Source organism: Homo sapiens, chromosome 5, assembly GCF_000001405.40.
Source record: "Homo sapiens chromosome 5, GRCh38.p14 Primary Assembly".
In the NCBI taxonomy this organism is placed as follows: domain Eukaryota; kingdom Metazoa; phylum Chordata; class Mammalia; order Primates; family Hominidae; genus Homo; species Homo sapiens.
The window spans coordinates 3,490,304-3,505,281 of NC_000005.10; the positions used below are offsets into that span (position 1 = coordinate 3,490,304).

General features: G+C 38.5%; 2 long non-coding RNA genes across 2 annotated transcripts in view, besides 1 other annotated feature; both read right to left on the minus strand.

Moving 5' to 3' along the window:
• LINC01019 (long intergenic non-protein coding RNA 1019) overlaps positions 1-14,978 on the minus strand; it is a 118,943-nt gene that overhangs the window by 73,152 nt on the left and 30,813 nt on the right. The gene's annotated exons all lie outside the window — the stretch shown is intronic.
• Positions 407-907: an enhancer, noted in NCBI's record as "H3K4me1 hESC enhancer chr5:3490824-3491324 (GRCh37/hg19 assembly coordinates)". NCBI's record gives its function as "activates a minimal SCP1, AML or CMV promoter by ChIP-STARR-seq in primed H9 embryonic stem cells {active_cell/tissue: H9 hESC(primed)}" and the evidence as "EXISTENCE:reporter gene assay evidence [ECO:0000049][PMID:30033119]".
• Positions 6,069-13,701, minus strand: LINC01017 (long intergenic non-protein coding RNA 1017). Its single transcript, NR_104618.1, has 3 exons — positions 13,624-13,701; positions 7,048-7,108; positions 6,069-6,554 (listed from the first exon to the last, which is right to left on the minus strand). It is a non-coding gene; the product is annotated as a long intergenic non-protein coding RNA 1017 (long non-coding RNA).

Below are 14,978 nucleotides of genomic sequence, written 5' to 3' on the forward strand. Positions count from 1 at the left end.
GAGATGCATCGTCAATGCAGAAATATCTCAGTAAAAACACTTCAGACTCCTTCCCTGCAGGGTGATTTCGGAAAAGGCAAAGTGCTGGCAATCTAGGTTGCCAGGAGAAGTTGGGGAAGCACACTGGGGTCTCCCCACCGTGCAGCAAGGAGAGGGAAGGGAGCCTAGGTCTGCATCCCTGTGGGCTCTCTTAGGCAAGCCGACTGCCCCGCACACCCTGTTCCCTCCCATCTTGGCCAGGGAAACTGAGTCAAGAAGAGACTAAGGCCCCTGAACTTTCCAGAGGGCTTCAGAGACTTAGATAACCTCCTGTCCAGAAGTCCCCAAGGCTGGATCTGCAATTTCTTCTAGGACTGACAAAAACTAAACCATTTCTGGCAGGTTTGAATAAATTAACTCTTTTTTACCTAATAAATCTCCACATCAGTTCAACCCCCACCTTGTGCTAGTTACGGTGACTCTTTTTTTTTAATAAATAAACTTGAGACAAGACATACAGAGTTATAAAATACATGGCTTATCTAAAACAGTTCATTCCTAGCTTCCCCCCTACACACACACACACAACACACACACACACACACACACACACACACACTCACTCACTCAGAAACAGCGATGAAAGTGGAGCCCGGCCCAGCTTTTCAGCAAATCGCTGAGATTACCGAGATAACGTTTGCCCGACAATGTCACAGGGTCATGAAAAAAACCAACACAATATGCTTCTCCAAACCCACCTCATCTGAACGCCGGCTCGAGTGTAAGCAGAGCCCAGGGGGTGAGCGGGCAGAACAAAAGCAGCCCTCTGCTAATTGACTGAAAAATTAGCCCAGTTGCCCCATGGGAGGCACGGGAGGCTGCAGCAGATGGAGGCTGCTTGGGCGCCCGGCTCAGAAAGCCACTCGCAACCTGCTGGGGCTCTGCCGCAATTATGGGTCACAACACTCCTCTTGTTAAACAGACACCAGCAAGCCTGACCGAGGAATGGAAGGCCAGGAAGGTCACAGATGGCCTGTAAACCAGCGATTTCCCCTTCGGACCCGACACTGAACTTCCTGAAGGTGCCCATGTTTGTGCTTTGGGGGGGTTTGTTTGTTTTTGGTTTGGTTTAGTTTTTGTAGACTTAGCCTCTAGCCCAAACAGATGCTTTCCTGTGCACTCTTTGATTCTGGTGATCTGAATTAATTTATGTTCCCACGCCTTCGTCCCCAGCTCTGGCTCTATGATCGCTGGGCGGCAGACGTGGTCATGCAGAGCTCATTATACATGTGTGGGGTGTGTGTGTGTTCACGCACACACAGGCAGGCACCACTCCAAGTACAACTTCAGCAACACCAGGCAGGATTATTTATTCCTCTAACAAGAAATAAAATCTGTAGCCACTGCAGGTTTTGTGGCTCAGAAAATGTTTTAATCACAGGTCTGCCCCTGAGGTCTCAGGATGCAAAGTGCATTTTGACTAATACTGACTGTATCTGCTCCCAAAGCCTGCGAGTGGGAGATTCTTGAATATCTGACATTTTGAAACATCACATAAGCTGCAATTGATAAATAAATTATTGCCATCTGACACTAAATGGCCCGTGCCCCTTTGTCTCCTACCAGAAGAAATAAACATCTATTGCAATAAGGTAGGAATTTTATTCCATCTACTAATTTGAAATTTTAAAAAATACAGGTGTGCTTTTGTCACATACTCCTTAGATAAAGAACTATGACTTCAGTTTTTCCTGATATTACTGTTTTCTGTTAAAATGTCCATTATACAATTATTAATTCATATATCATATCTCACTTTACACAAATATCTTCATTTTTGTCCTAAGTTGAGCTTCTATAAGAGGCACTTCACTGGTGTACCCTTAAATTCCATCATTACAGCAATTCTAGAAAAAAAAAAGTGAGAGAAAATCATCCATAATCCTCTTGTTAAACAGACACCAGCAAGACCGACCGAGGCAGGAAAGACTGGGAGGGTCACAAAGGGCCTGTAAACCAGTCATTTCTCCTTCAGACAAAAGGAACTTACCTTTTATCACTTTGTCTATTTCTTTTATTCACATGAACATTTTACATAAGATTAAATATAACACATAATGTTCAGTGTGATTCATTTTACTTATTATTATGTGTTTTATCACGTTGGCACGATCTGTTATTATTTTACTATCCCAGCAAGTGGCATTGTCATCATTTGCCTATTTCTCTGTTACTTGTCGTTTTGTCTCTTTTTCCTTAGTTTTCATGTTTAAACTATGGTGAGTAAGATTGGCCTTTGTGCGCTACAGTGGCGTGCATATGTGCAGATGGGTACCAGCATCACCACAACCACAACACGGAACAGTCCATCACATCACAGGAACTTCCTTGTGCTGTCCGTCCCCTCAGAACTGCACCTTCCCCTTCACCCTCGATGCTTAGCAACCACTGATACATCACCATATCATTATCATTATGATCCTTTTGTCTGTTTGAGAGTATCATATGAATATAAATGAAGTCACACAGTATGTGACCTTCAGAAACTGCCTTCTGTCACTCAGTAGAACGTCCTTGACATTCACTCAAGCTGATCCTACAGGAGCACCTGCCTTTTTATTGCTGGGTAGCTCCTTGGCATGGGGTGTGCCAGGGCTGGTAAATTAATCCACCTGTGGAAGCGCACTGGGAGGCTCCCATTGTGCAGATATTACAAAGAAAGTTGTTTATACATATAAGCATAGAACTAATATATAAAAATATGTTTATTTATATATAAAAGTATATATGTATATAATAAAAGTATATATGAAAGTGTATATATAAAAGTATCTACATATCTACATGTATATGTAGATATATATATACATATATGTAGATATATACACATATATATGAATATATATACGTGTGTGTGTGTGTGTATATATATATATATAAATCTGTGCAGATTTTTGTGTGAACACAAATTACATTTCTTTAGGCTAAATGCCCAGGGTTGGGGTTACTGGATCATGTGGTTAATAAATCATTAGCTTTACAAGAAATTTCCAAACTCTTGTCCAGATAATCTGTATAATTCTTCATGTCAACCAGCAATGTATGTTTCATTTGCTCCAGGTCTTCACCAGCACTTGAAATTGTGACTATTTTTATTCCAGCCTACAAATAGATGCATAGCAGTATCTCATCTTAGTTTTATTTTTATTTCCCTACTGGTCAATCAATGATATTGTATATCTTTTTATGTGGTCATTTAACTTTTTCTATCTTTGGTGAAATGTCTGTTTAAATATTTTGCTCATTTTTTTACTGTTTAGTTTTGAGACTTTTTTATGTATTTTGGATACATGTCCATGGCCAGATATGGTACATGTTTTACAAAGATTTTCTCTCAGTCTATATTTGTATGTCATTCTTTTAACATTAACTTTTGAAAAGCAAAGTTTTTAATTTTGATGAAGTAATTTTTATAATATTTTTGTGTAGTTGACTTTTTAAAATTGTTGATACTCTTAGTGTAGAGTCATTTGTAACAGCTTATTATCCCTTTAATGTCTGTAAGGTGTAATTTCTATCTTTTTTCTTTCTTGATCTAGCTACAAGTTTGTTTACTTTATGGACCATTTCAAAAAACCAGTTTTTAGGATTTTTTTTTTCATTTTTCTCTATGGTTTTTCTGTCTTTAATTTCATGAATTTCTGCTCTTTTATTGGGATCTGTCATTCATTGATTTGTGTTTATTTTGCTCTTTTTTCTAGCTCCTCAAAGAAGAAGCATGGAGCCTTAATTTAAAACCTTTTTTTAAAAAGTTATTATATATACTTCTAATGCTATATATTTTTCCTCAAAGAAATGTGTCAAGTGTATTTTACAAATTTAATGTGACATAATCTTATTTTCTTTTTATTTAAAATATTTCTGAAGTTCTTTGAACTTCTTCTCTCCATGAATTATTTAGAATTATGTTGATTAATTTCCAAATATTTAGATATTTTCTGGTTATCTTTCTCTTAAATATTTCTAGTTTTATTTTATTATGGTCTAAAAATATTATTCAATTACATTTTTATGACTAGAAATACAAACTGTCTCTGTGAATGCTACATGTACATTTGAAAATAATGTGTATTATTTTGTTTGAATAAAATGTTATTTAAATATTAATTAGGTCCAGTTGGCTAATGGTGTTACTCAGATCTTTCATATTCTTGATGATTTTCTGTATAAAATGGTCTGTATAAAAGTTTTATCTACTACAGAACAATGAATATCAATAGGCCCAACTAGAATTGCACACTTGTCTATTTTTTCTTTTAGTTCTGCTGTGTTTTGCTTCATGTTGTTAGGTGCATACATATTTCATATTGTTACATCATCTTAAATAATTGATTCATTTATCATTATGTGATGTCCCTCTTTAGCACAGTCATTTTCTTTGCTCTAAAGTTACTTCTTCTGATTTTAATATAGATATTCTAGCTTTCTTTTAGAGTTTTCATGATATACCTTTTTCCATTCTTTTCCATTAATCTGCCTATATTATCATTTTTGAAGTGAGTTTGTATGGATAGCATATAAATTATTTTTATATCAGTTGCAATAAACTTTGTATTTTTATTGTTATATTAGGATCATTTCATATTTATGGTAATTATTAATACATTTGGATTTAGGTCTATCATTTTATTATTTGTTTCTTCTTTGTCCTGTCTGCTTTTGCCTTTTTGCTTTTATTGGGTTATCTGCATTATTTTAATATTTCATTTTAGTTCATCTATTGCAATTTTTTTCTTTTTCTCTCTGTAAATACATGTACACATATATATGAATATATACATATATACATACACATATGTGTGTGTGTATGTATGTGTGTGTGTGTGCGTGTGTGTAATTTTTTAGGGTTTCTCTGGGGACTGCAATATATGTACTGAATTTTTCACTGTCTATTTAGAATCAATATTTTGCCTTACAACAATAAAGACTATAACTTCTGCCTTTATATTATAGTTGTTTTCATATATTAATAATCCCACCAGAAAAACTTTATAATTTTTGCAAGCATAAAATATATTTTAAAGATCTTAAGAGAAAAATAATATATTACACTTACTTAACATTTACCATTTCTGCTGTTCTTTCTTCATTCTGGTGGTCAAATGTACATTCAAATATTATTTTCCATCTGCTGAAAACTTTCTTAGCAATTCTTTTAGATTGAGTCTTTTAGTAACAAACTTCCTTGTCTCATCTGTGAATATTTTGATTCTGCTTTCATTGCTGAGAAAAGTGGTCATTAGATATAGAATTTAAGGTGGGCAATTGTTTCCCTTCAGCACTTTAGTCATATTCTGTCTCTTCCTTCTGACTTCCATCATTTTTGATGAAAAATCCACATATCTTTCTAATCATTCCCACATGGGTAATACATGATTTTTAACTGGGCACTTACTTTAGTTTGTTTCAGGTGTTCATCTTTATTATGATGATGTGTTGACATGGATTTCCTTTGTTTAATTCTATTAGAGAGTCACTCAATTTTTTCAATCTGTAGATTTATGCCTGTCACTAAACATAGAAAGTTTTCAGCTATTATATCTTGAAATGCTTTTTAACACCAAATTTCTTCTTCTCTGGGACTATGATGACATAAATATTAAAGCCTTGTTATAGGTCCCTGAGTCATAGTTAATGTTTTAATCTAGTCAGGCTTCTTAAGGTTGCTGTTATTACATTTTTCAGTTTTAAAATTTCTGAGTTCTTTTTTTGTAATTTCCATTTATTTGCCCAGATGTTCTATTTTCTCATTTGTTTCAAAAAGTTCATGATTATTTCTTGGAGCTGCTTTAAAGTCTTTGTCAGGTAATGCCAACATTTCTATTGTCTTGATGTTGGCATCTTTTCTGTGTCTTTTCTATTGCAGTTGAGATTTTTCTGGCTCCTTTTATGTCAAGTAGATTTGGATTGTATCTTGGACACTTCAAATATTATGTTATAAGAGCCTGTATTATATTCAAATCCAATGAACAGCACTGATACTTTTGTTTTAGCAAAAATCTTGTTAGGCACACCCTGAAAAATCCAACATGCCCAAATTTAAAACTAGAAAATTGTAAAAAATATATGAAAAAGAATCCTCTTCAGATATTGAACTACAGGTATATTAGGACTATGATCCTTGGGGACAAAAGGGGAACAAATGAGATGAGACATATTATTTTCTCAATTTTATAGACGGAGAAACATTTTGGACCACAATATAGAAAAGGCGGTTCCAAGCTACACAGAATAAAAACACAGTTATTTCTTGGGATACTCTTGAGCACTGCCGAATACTATGACATGAATATCATGGTGGGATGAAAGTCCACAAGTATGGCAGAGATTGATGAATGAACTGTGAGGTCCAGGCTTTGGAGTCACACAACTTCCTATGAGCAGACTGGACAGTCCTCGCTGATATATCAGGGTATGTAGTTGTATCCAGAGAAGACACTCCAAGAAGATCAATGGACCATATAGAAAACCACATTGAAAACCGCAAGACAACTCATAGCAAAATGTACGAAAGCCTAAGATAAAGAGAAAATCTTAAAATTGGGCAGAGGAAAAACACACAATAGGTATAGAAAAAAAAAGTAGCAATTATAGCAGACTTTTTATGAGAAACTCTTCAGGCCAGGAAACAATGAAACAGCATATTTAAAGTGCTAAAATAGTCCATGTAGAATTCTAAAGCTAGCAAAAGTCACTTCAAAACTAAAAGGGAAAAAAAGTATTTTAAAAGGAACATGCACAAAGATAAGTCATATGCTGGGCCATAAAATGCATCCCCCAAAGTTTGTTAAAAATCTTAAAATTGGCCAGGTGTGGTGGCTAATGCCTGTAATCCCAACACTATGGGAGGACGAGGCAGGCGGATACCTGAGGTTGGGAGTTCGAGACCAGCCTGGCCAACCTGGCAAAATCCCGTCTCTACTAAAAATCCAAAAATTAGCTGGGCGTGGTAGCAGGTGCCTGTAATCCCAGCTACTAAGGAGGCTGAGGCAGGAGAATCACTTGAACCTGGGAGGTGGAGGTTGCAGTTGCCCCATTGCACTCTAGCCTGGAAGACAAGAGTGAAACTCTGTCAAAAAAGAAAAAAAAAAACTTAAAATCATGTAAAGTAGCGTTTTTTATTATGATGTGACATTTCTCCAAAACTGATTTATAGATTCAATGGGATCCCAGGAAAACTCCCAGCAGAAATTTTTGTGGAAACTGATAAGGTGATTTTAAAATGAATGTGATGCTATACTAAATTGGCAAAAGCTGGAAGCATTCCTCTTGAAAACTGGCACAAGACAAGGATGCACTCTCTCACCACTCCTACTCAACTCAACATAGTATTGGAAGTTCTGGCCAGGGCAATCAAGCAAGAGAAAGAAACAAAAGGTATTCAGATAAAAAGACAGGAAGTACAAGGTCAAGAGATCGAAACCATCCTGGCCAACATGGTGAAACCCCGTCTCTACTAAAAATACAAAAAAAAAAAAAAAATCAGCCAGGCATGGTGGCACACGCCTGTAATTCCAGTTACTCGAGAGGCTGAGGCAGAAGAATCGCTTGAATCTGGGAAGCGGAGGTTGCAGTGAGCCGAGATCGCATGACTGCACTCCAGCCTGGGTGATAGAGAGATACGCCTTCAAAAAAACAAACAATAAAAGAAGTCAAACTGTCACTCTTTGCAGATGACATGATCCTATATCTAGAAAACCCCATTGTCTCAGCCCAAAAGCTTCTTAAGCTGAGAAGCAACTTCAGCAATGTCTCAGGATACAAAATCCATGTGCAAAAATCACTAGCATTCCTATACAACAATAGACGAGCAGAGAGCCAAATCATGAATGAACTCCCATTCACAACTGCTACAAAGAGAATAAAATACCTAGAATACAGCTAACAAGGGAAGTGAAGGGTCTCTTCAAGGAGAACCAAACCATTGCTCAAGGAAAGCAGAGGACACAAACAAATGGAAAAACATTCCATGCTCATGGATAGGAAAAATCAATATTATGAAAATGGCCATACTGCCCAAAGTAATTTATAGATTCATTGCTATTCCCATTAAACTATCATTGACATTCTTCAAAGAATGAGAAAAAACTACTTTAAAATTCATATGGAAGTAAAAAAGAGACCATATAGCCAAGATAATGCTAAGCAAAAAGAACAAAGCTGGAGCTATCACGCTACCTGACTTCACACCATACTACAAGGTTACTGTAACCAAAACAGCATGGTACTGGTACAAAAATAGATACATAAAACCAATGGAACAGAATAGAGATATCAAAAATAAGACCATACGTCTACAACCATCTGATCTTCGACAAACCTGACAAAAACATGGAATGGGAAAAGGACTATCTATTATTAAATGGTGCTGGGAAGACTGGCTAGCCATATACAGAAAACTGAAACTGGACCCCTTCCTTACACCTTGTACAGAAAATTAACTCAAGGTGAATTAAAGACCTAAATGTAAAACCCAAAACTATAAAAAGCCTAGAAGAAAAATCTAGGCAGTACCATTCAGGACGTAGGCATGGGCAAAGATTTAATGATGAAGACATTAAAAGCAATTGCAACAAAAGCAAAAATTGACAAATGGGATCGAATTAAACTAAAGAGCTTCTACACAGCAAAAGAAACTATTATCAGAGTGAACAGACAACCTACGAAAAGGGAGAAAACTTTTGCAATATATCCATCTGACAAAGGTCTAATATTCAGGATCTACGAGGAACTTAAACAAATTTACAAGAAAAAAACAAACAACCCCATTAAAAAGTGGGCAAATGACATGAACAGACACTTCTTAAAAGCAGACATGCCGGGCGCGGTGGCTCACGCCTGTAATCCCAGCACTTTGGGAGGCCGAGGCGGGTGGATCACGAGGTCAGGAGATCGAGACCATCCTGGCTAACAAGGTGAAACCCCGTCTCTACTAAAAATACAAAAAATTAGCCGGGCGCGGTGGCGGGCGCCTGTAGTCCCAGCTACTCGGGAGGCTGAGGCAGGAGAATGGCGTGAACCCGGGAAGCAGAGCTTGCAGTGAGCCGAGATTGCGCCACTGCAGTCCGCAGTCCGGCCTGGGCGACAGAGCGAGACTCCGCCTCAAAAAAAAAAAAAAAAAAAAAAAAAAGCAGACATTTATATGGCCAACAAACATGAAAAAAAGTTCAACATGACTGATCATTAGAGAAATGCAAATCAAAACTACAATGAGATACCATCTCATGCCAATCAGAATGGCAATTATTAAAAAGACAAGAAACAACAGATGCTGGTGATGTTGCAGAGAAATAGGAATACTTTTACAATGTTGGTGGGAATGTAAATTACTTTAGCCATTGTGGAAGACAGTGTAGCAATTCCTCAAAGACCTAGGAACAAAAATACCATTTGACCCAGCAATCCCATTACTAGGTATATATGCAAAGAAATATAAATCATTCTCTTATAAAGATACATGCATGCATATGTTCACTGCAGCACTATTCACAATAGCAAAGACATTAAATAAACCCAAATGCCCATCAATGATCGACTGGATAAAGAAAATGTGGTACACGGAATAATATACAGCCATAAAAACAAAGGCGATCATATCTTGCAGGGACATGGATGGAGCTCGAAGGCATTTATCCTCAGCAAACTCATGCAGAAACAGAAAACTAAACACCACATGTTATAAGTGGGAGCTGAACAATGAGAACACATTAACACAGGGAAGGGAACAACACACACTGGAACCTGTCAGGGGTGAGGAGGCAGGGGGAAGAAGAGCATCAGAATAAATAGCTAATGCATGTGGGGCTTAATACCTAGGTGATGGGTTGATAGGTGCAGCAAACCACCATGGGACACATTTACCTATGTAACAAACCTGTACATCCTGAACATGTATCCCAGAACTCAAAATAAAATAATAGGCATAAAAAATAAAAAATAAAAATAAAATGAATGTGGAAATTCAAGGACCTAGCATAGCCAAAATAATTTTTATAAAAGCAGAACAATGTGGAAGTATTTATCTTATTTGACTCCAAGACTTATTATAAAGTTATAAGAGTCAAGATAGTATCTTATTGGCATAAGAATAGACTTATAAATTAATGAAACAGAAGAGAGTTTTATAATAGACTCCTGTATATATAGTCAAATAATTTTTTAAAGGTACCATGGTGATTCAATGGAGAAAGAATATTCTTTAAATAAGTTTTGTTGTAAAAATAAATATCCATATCACACATAAAAAAGACTATGACCCTTTATTGACACCATATACAAAATTATTTCAGAATGCTTCATAACCCCAAGTGTAAAAGCCAAAATATAAATTTTCTAGACAAAAATATACAAGAAGAAAAATTTATTTTACTTTATCACAGTCAAAATTTTTTAGGACACCAAAAGCACAAAACCTAAAAGAAAACTAAATAATAAAATGAGGTCTTCTTCCCTAAAACTTATAAATTCAGGCTAGTCATAAGTAAAACATCAGACAAATACCAGGTGAAGGACATCTACAAAATACCTGACCAGTAATTCTCAAATCTATAAAAGACATTAAAACCAGAAAAGTTTGGGAAACTGTCACATCTAAGAGATGCCAAAGGAGATGAACATAAAACACAAAGTGGTTCCCTGGTTGGGACTCTGGAACAGAAAAAGGACATTCGCATTCGGGGAAAACTACATAAAGTAGCAACTTTAATTAATAATAATGTATCAATATTCATTCATTAGTTTTGACTAATGTACCATGGTAATGTAATATGCTAATAATAGGAGAAAAGATAGGTGGGGGATATGTGAGAACTCTCTATACTCCCTTTGCAACTTTTATGTAAATCTAAACTGTTTTTAAAATCTAAACTGTTTTTGCTTAAATTTATAAAGTAAAAAATTATAAAATTCATGAACATTAAAATTTCTGCTCTTTGAAATACATCAATAAGAAAATTAAAAGTCAAATCCACAAATGGGAAAATTTTTCACACTATGTATATTTGATATATTACTTATATTCAGAATAAGTACAAACATTTACAACTCAATTATGAGACATAAAACCCAATTTTAATAAAAGAAGGGGGCTAAAGATTAAACAGAAAATTTACCAAAAACTACATATGCATAGCCAATACATACTTGAAAAGATGCTCAACATTAGTCATTAGGGAAATGCAGATTAAAATCATAGTCAGATACCACTATACACCCATTAGAGCGGCTAAAATTAGACAAGATTGACACTATTTTTAGTGAGTGTGGAGCAACTACTTAGCTAGTAGAAGTGTGAAATGGTACAGCCACTTAGGAAAACAGTTTGGTAATTTCTTATAAAGGTAAACACTCTCTTACCACATGTTCATGCAATTCTGCTCCTAGGTATTTACCCAAAGTCTTATGCACGAATGCTCCTGGTAACTTTGATTATAACTGCCGGAAGTTGGAGCCAAACCAAATATCCATCAACAGGTGAATAGACCTTCTTGCACATCCACATAATGTAATACCACTCAGCATGTGAAAAGAGTGAATTACTGACACACAACAATATGGATGAATAGTAAATGCACTATTTTGCACAAAGGAAGTCAGACACAAAAGTGTAATCCCATTTACACAAAGCACAAGGAAGGCAAAACTGATCTGTAGTGACAGAAGGTCAATCAGTGGCTGCTTTGCGCTGGGGCTGAAGGATGGGGATTGACTGGAAAGGGGCCCCAGGAAACCCTCTGCGATGACGAGAATTTTCTATATCATGAAGTGGAGTAGTTTCAGCAGTGTACACATTTTTCAGACTCATCAAAATGTACACTTAATATGTGTGTATTGTATTGTTTGCAAAATTATACTTTCACAAAATTTATTTTTTTTTTTTTTTATTTTTTTTTTTTTTTGAGACGGAGTCTCGCTCTGTCGCCCAGGCCGGACTGCGGAGTGCAGTGGCGCAATCTCGGCTCACTGCAAGCTCCGCTTCCCGGGTTCACGCCATTCTCCTGCCTCAGCCTCCCGAGTAGCTGGGACTACAGGCGCCCGCCACCGCGCCCGGCTAATTTTTTGTATTTTTAGTAGAGACGGGGTTTCACCTTGTTAGCCAGGATGGTCTCGATCTCTTGACCTCATGATCCACCCGCCTCGGCCTCCCAAAGTGCTGGGATTACAGGCGTGAGCCACCGCGCCCGGCCCAAAATTTATTTTTAAAAAGCAGGACCCAAGAGCAATTCTAGAAGGTAAGTAGAGGATACATTCCACCAGAACTCAGAGCAAACCCTAGGCAGAGGCTGGGAGAGGGAACCAGCCATGTGGCAGTCAGCAGAGAGTGGGGAAAGGATCCTCGGTACTGGGCCAGCGCCTGGTGAGTGACTGATAAGGTGATTCCTTTGGGCTGCAGCTCCTAGAAGCAGTGTTGTAAGCTTGGGAAACCATGCAGCAATGCACAGGGGAGCTTTGGGCATACACAGATAGGAAGAAGAGTGATGAGCAGATAGGCACACAGTGACTTCTCCTACACATTGTGGATCAGTGTCGATGCCTTTAAATAAGGTTGCCCATTCTTCTTGAGACAGGAAAACTTAAGCTACTCAGAGATTACTGAAAACATTAAAACACTGATATGTTTGGTTTGGGGGTACTCTGACTTCATGTTAAGCGTAATATGGTATGGGTTGATTCAGAAAAATCAAGATGAAATCTCAGAACCAACTGTCAAATAAAATAACTCCTGCTTGAGAGGCAGCCCTCAGTAAAACACACAAGGACCCTGTCAGTAAATACGGAAGTATCTGCTGTACGTGCCCCCATCTTCAAATAAAAACTTGAAACGATGGCAAAGTTAACATCAGTTGCACACACACAAACACACCACATGCACATAAATGTGAGGTTTACAAGACAGGGCAGAGTGAGAAAGACCACAATCCCAGGCTGCGTGACACGAGGTTTCTAACTCAAGCCACCCCTTAGGGACAGAGGCCGGGAAAGCTGTGGTGAAAGTCCCCAGCATGGATGGGAAGAATGACTCTGTGCTCCACTCAGTTGCCAGTTTGTATTGCCATGGAACCATCCAACAGCCATTTCAACCTGGAAACCATTCTGTGTGTTCAATCAATGAACATGGGTACTGGACACGGATTTTGAACAACACGATCTAAGGCCCAGAGAAGCGTAAGAGCTTTGAATGGCAGTGTTCTAACATGTGTCTGACTGATGGGAGGTCTGTGGACCAGAGTGTTCTGAGCTCTCCCAGGTGAGCTAGGCCTTGCTCTGGACATAGTGGGGCTGGAGGGATGGCTTCGGCCCCGCGTTCTTCTTGGACTGCTCTGCCGTCTGCCTTCTGATACATGGCAGTCTCCTGTCTCTGGGAAACACATGGGTGTCGTGCACCCAAATGTGTGGGACCTCAGCCTTCCCCACTTCTTCATCAACTAAGCACTAAACAAGTGTGTGGATCTGCTCACGAACGTGCTCACAAACTCACACACACACCAAGTGGAACTCCACACTGCATTTTTTTCTTTCCTTCATGGCCAAACTTCTGGGGGGGAAAAAAAAAAAATATATATATATATATACACATATATATACCTTTTTCCTGAATTTTTTATGGGTATCTCCTCTCTTGAAAATGCACCTGCTCTCCTCCGCAGGCCCAGCAAGAGCCCCTCTCTCATCCCTCAGCCCCCACCCAAGCTGTGACCCAACAGACGTTGCCAATGCCTTCTGGTGGCCACCCCCTCATTGTTGCTATGGCACTGTTGTGCCCTGCTTTCTCACAAGACCTTTGCCAGAAACTCCTCCCTGATCCTGCCTTAAATGCAGAGTCCCCTGCCAGCCCCCACCCTTCTTCTTCTCTGACCCCAGGCACTTCACCCCACCCTGGCTTCAGCCTACTTTCCTCACCTGCCCGCGCTCAGCCGGCTGCCTCTTCCCAGTGGGCCGGGACTGAAGGGTAGGGATTGAGCAGGTGCTCACACGCACCTTCCTACTTGCTCACCTTACTTCCACTTGGATGTGCTATCATCACTCAGGCCAGACGCATCACCGCGAAGCCCACCCAGCTGCCCTCTCAGAATGCCCTTCTGCCTGGCCCCATTGTCCCTGTTCTGAATAATGCCACAGCCACTCAGAAACGCGTTGGAAAGGAGAGCAAGTCCTGGAGCCTCCCTTCCACAGCCACTGGGAAATGATTCTGATAGGTGACGTTTTTCCAGTTCCCACTGTGGTCCAATCCCCACAGAGAAGCTGGGAACATGGGGCTGGCATGGCCAGGGGAGGGTCTCAGGGTAGCCTGCCCATTTTACTGATATGTTTCTGTAACAGAATCCTTGTAGTGGGAAGTCAGCCATTCCCAGCACAGGCTGGGCACTGCACTGGCATAGCAGGGTCACCTGTGGGGTGGTGGCGTGGACTGAAATCTCTCTACAAACATCCAGTGTGAGCTGCGCTCCAAACATTTCATGTGATGATGGCCTGTGTTCGTTCTCTCTCTCTCTTTCCCTCTTTTGAGTTATGTGTGTGTGTGTGTGTGTGTGTGTGTGTGTATGTATTTGTGTTGGGGTGGGCAGGTGTGAGTGTATGACAAATATACACATACAAATATATATGAAAAGTTTATATATGTGTGTACCTATATGTCCACATATTTTCATTCAATACTCATCTATTCAATCAACTATTTGAGTGTCAACTAAATGTGTATATAAATATAGGACCATATTGATATTGTAATTCCTCTCTTGGATTCAACATTCTATGATGTCCAACTGAAAGTGATGGTGCTCTTTATGACAAGAATAATCTTTATTTAAATGGTTTAGACATGAGCAGACTTGATAATTGTACTAATAACATACTTGTATCGGTGGTATCCTTGAGAACTAACTCTAATTCATTAACAGTTTGAAAACACCAGGTGGAACTTCTTCAGTGAAAACTGCAAA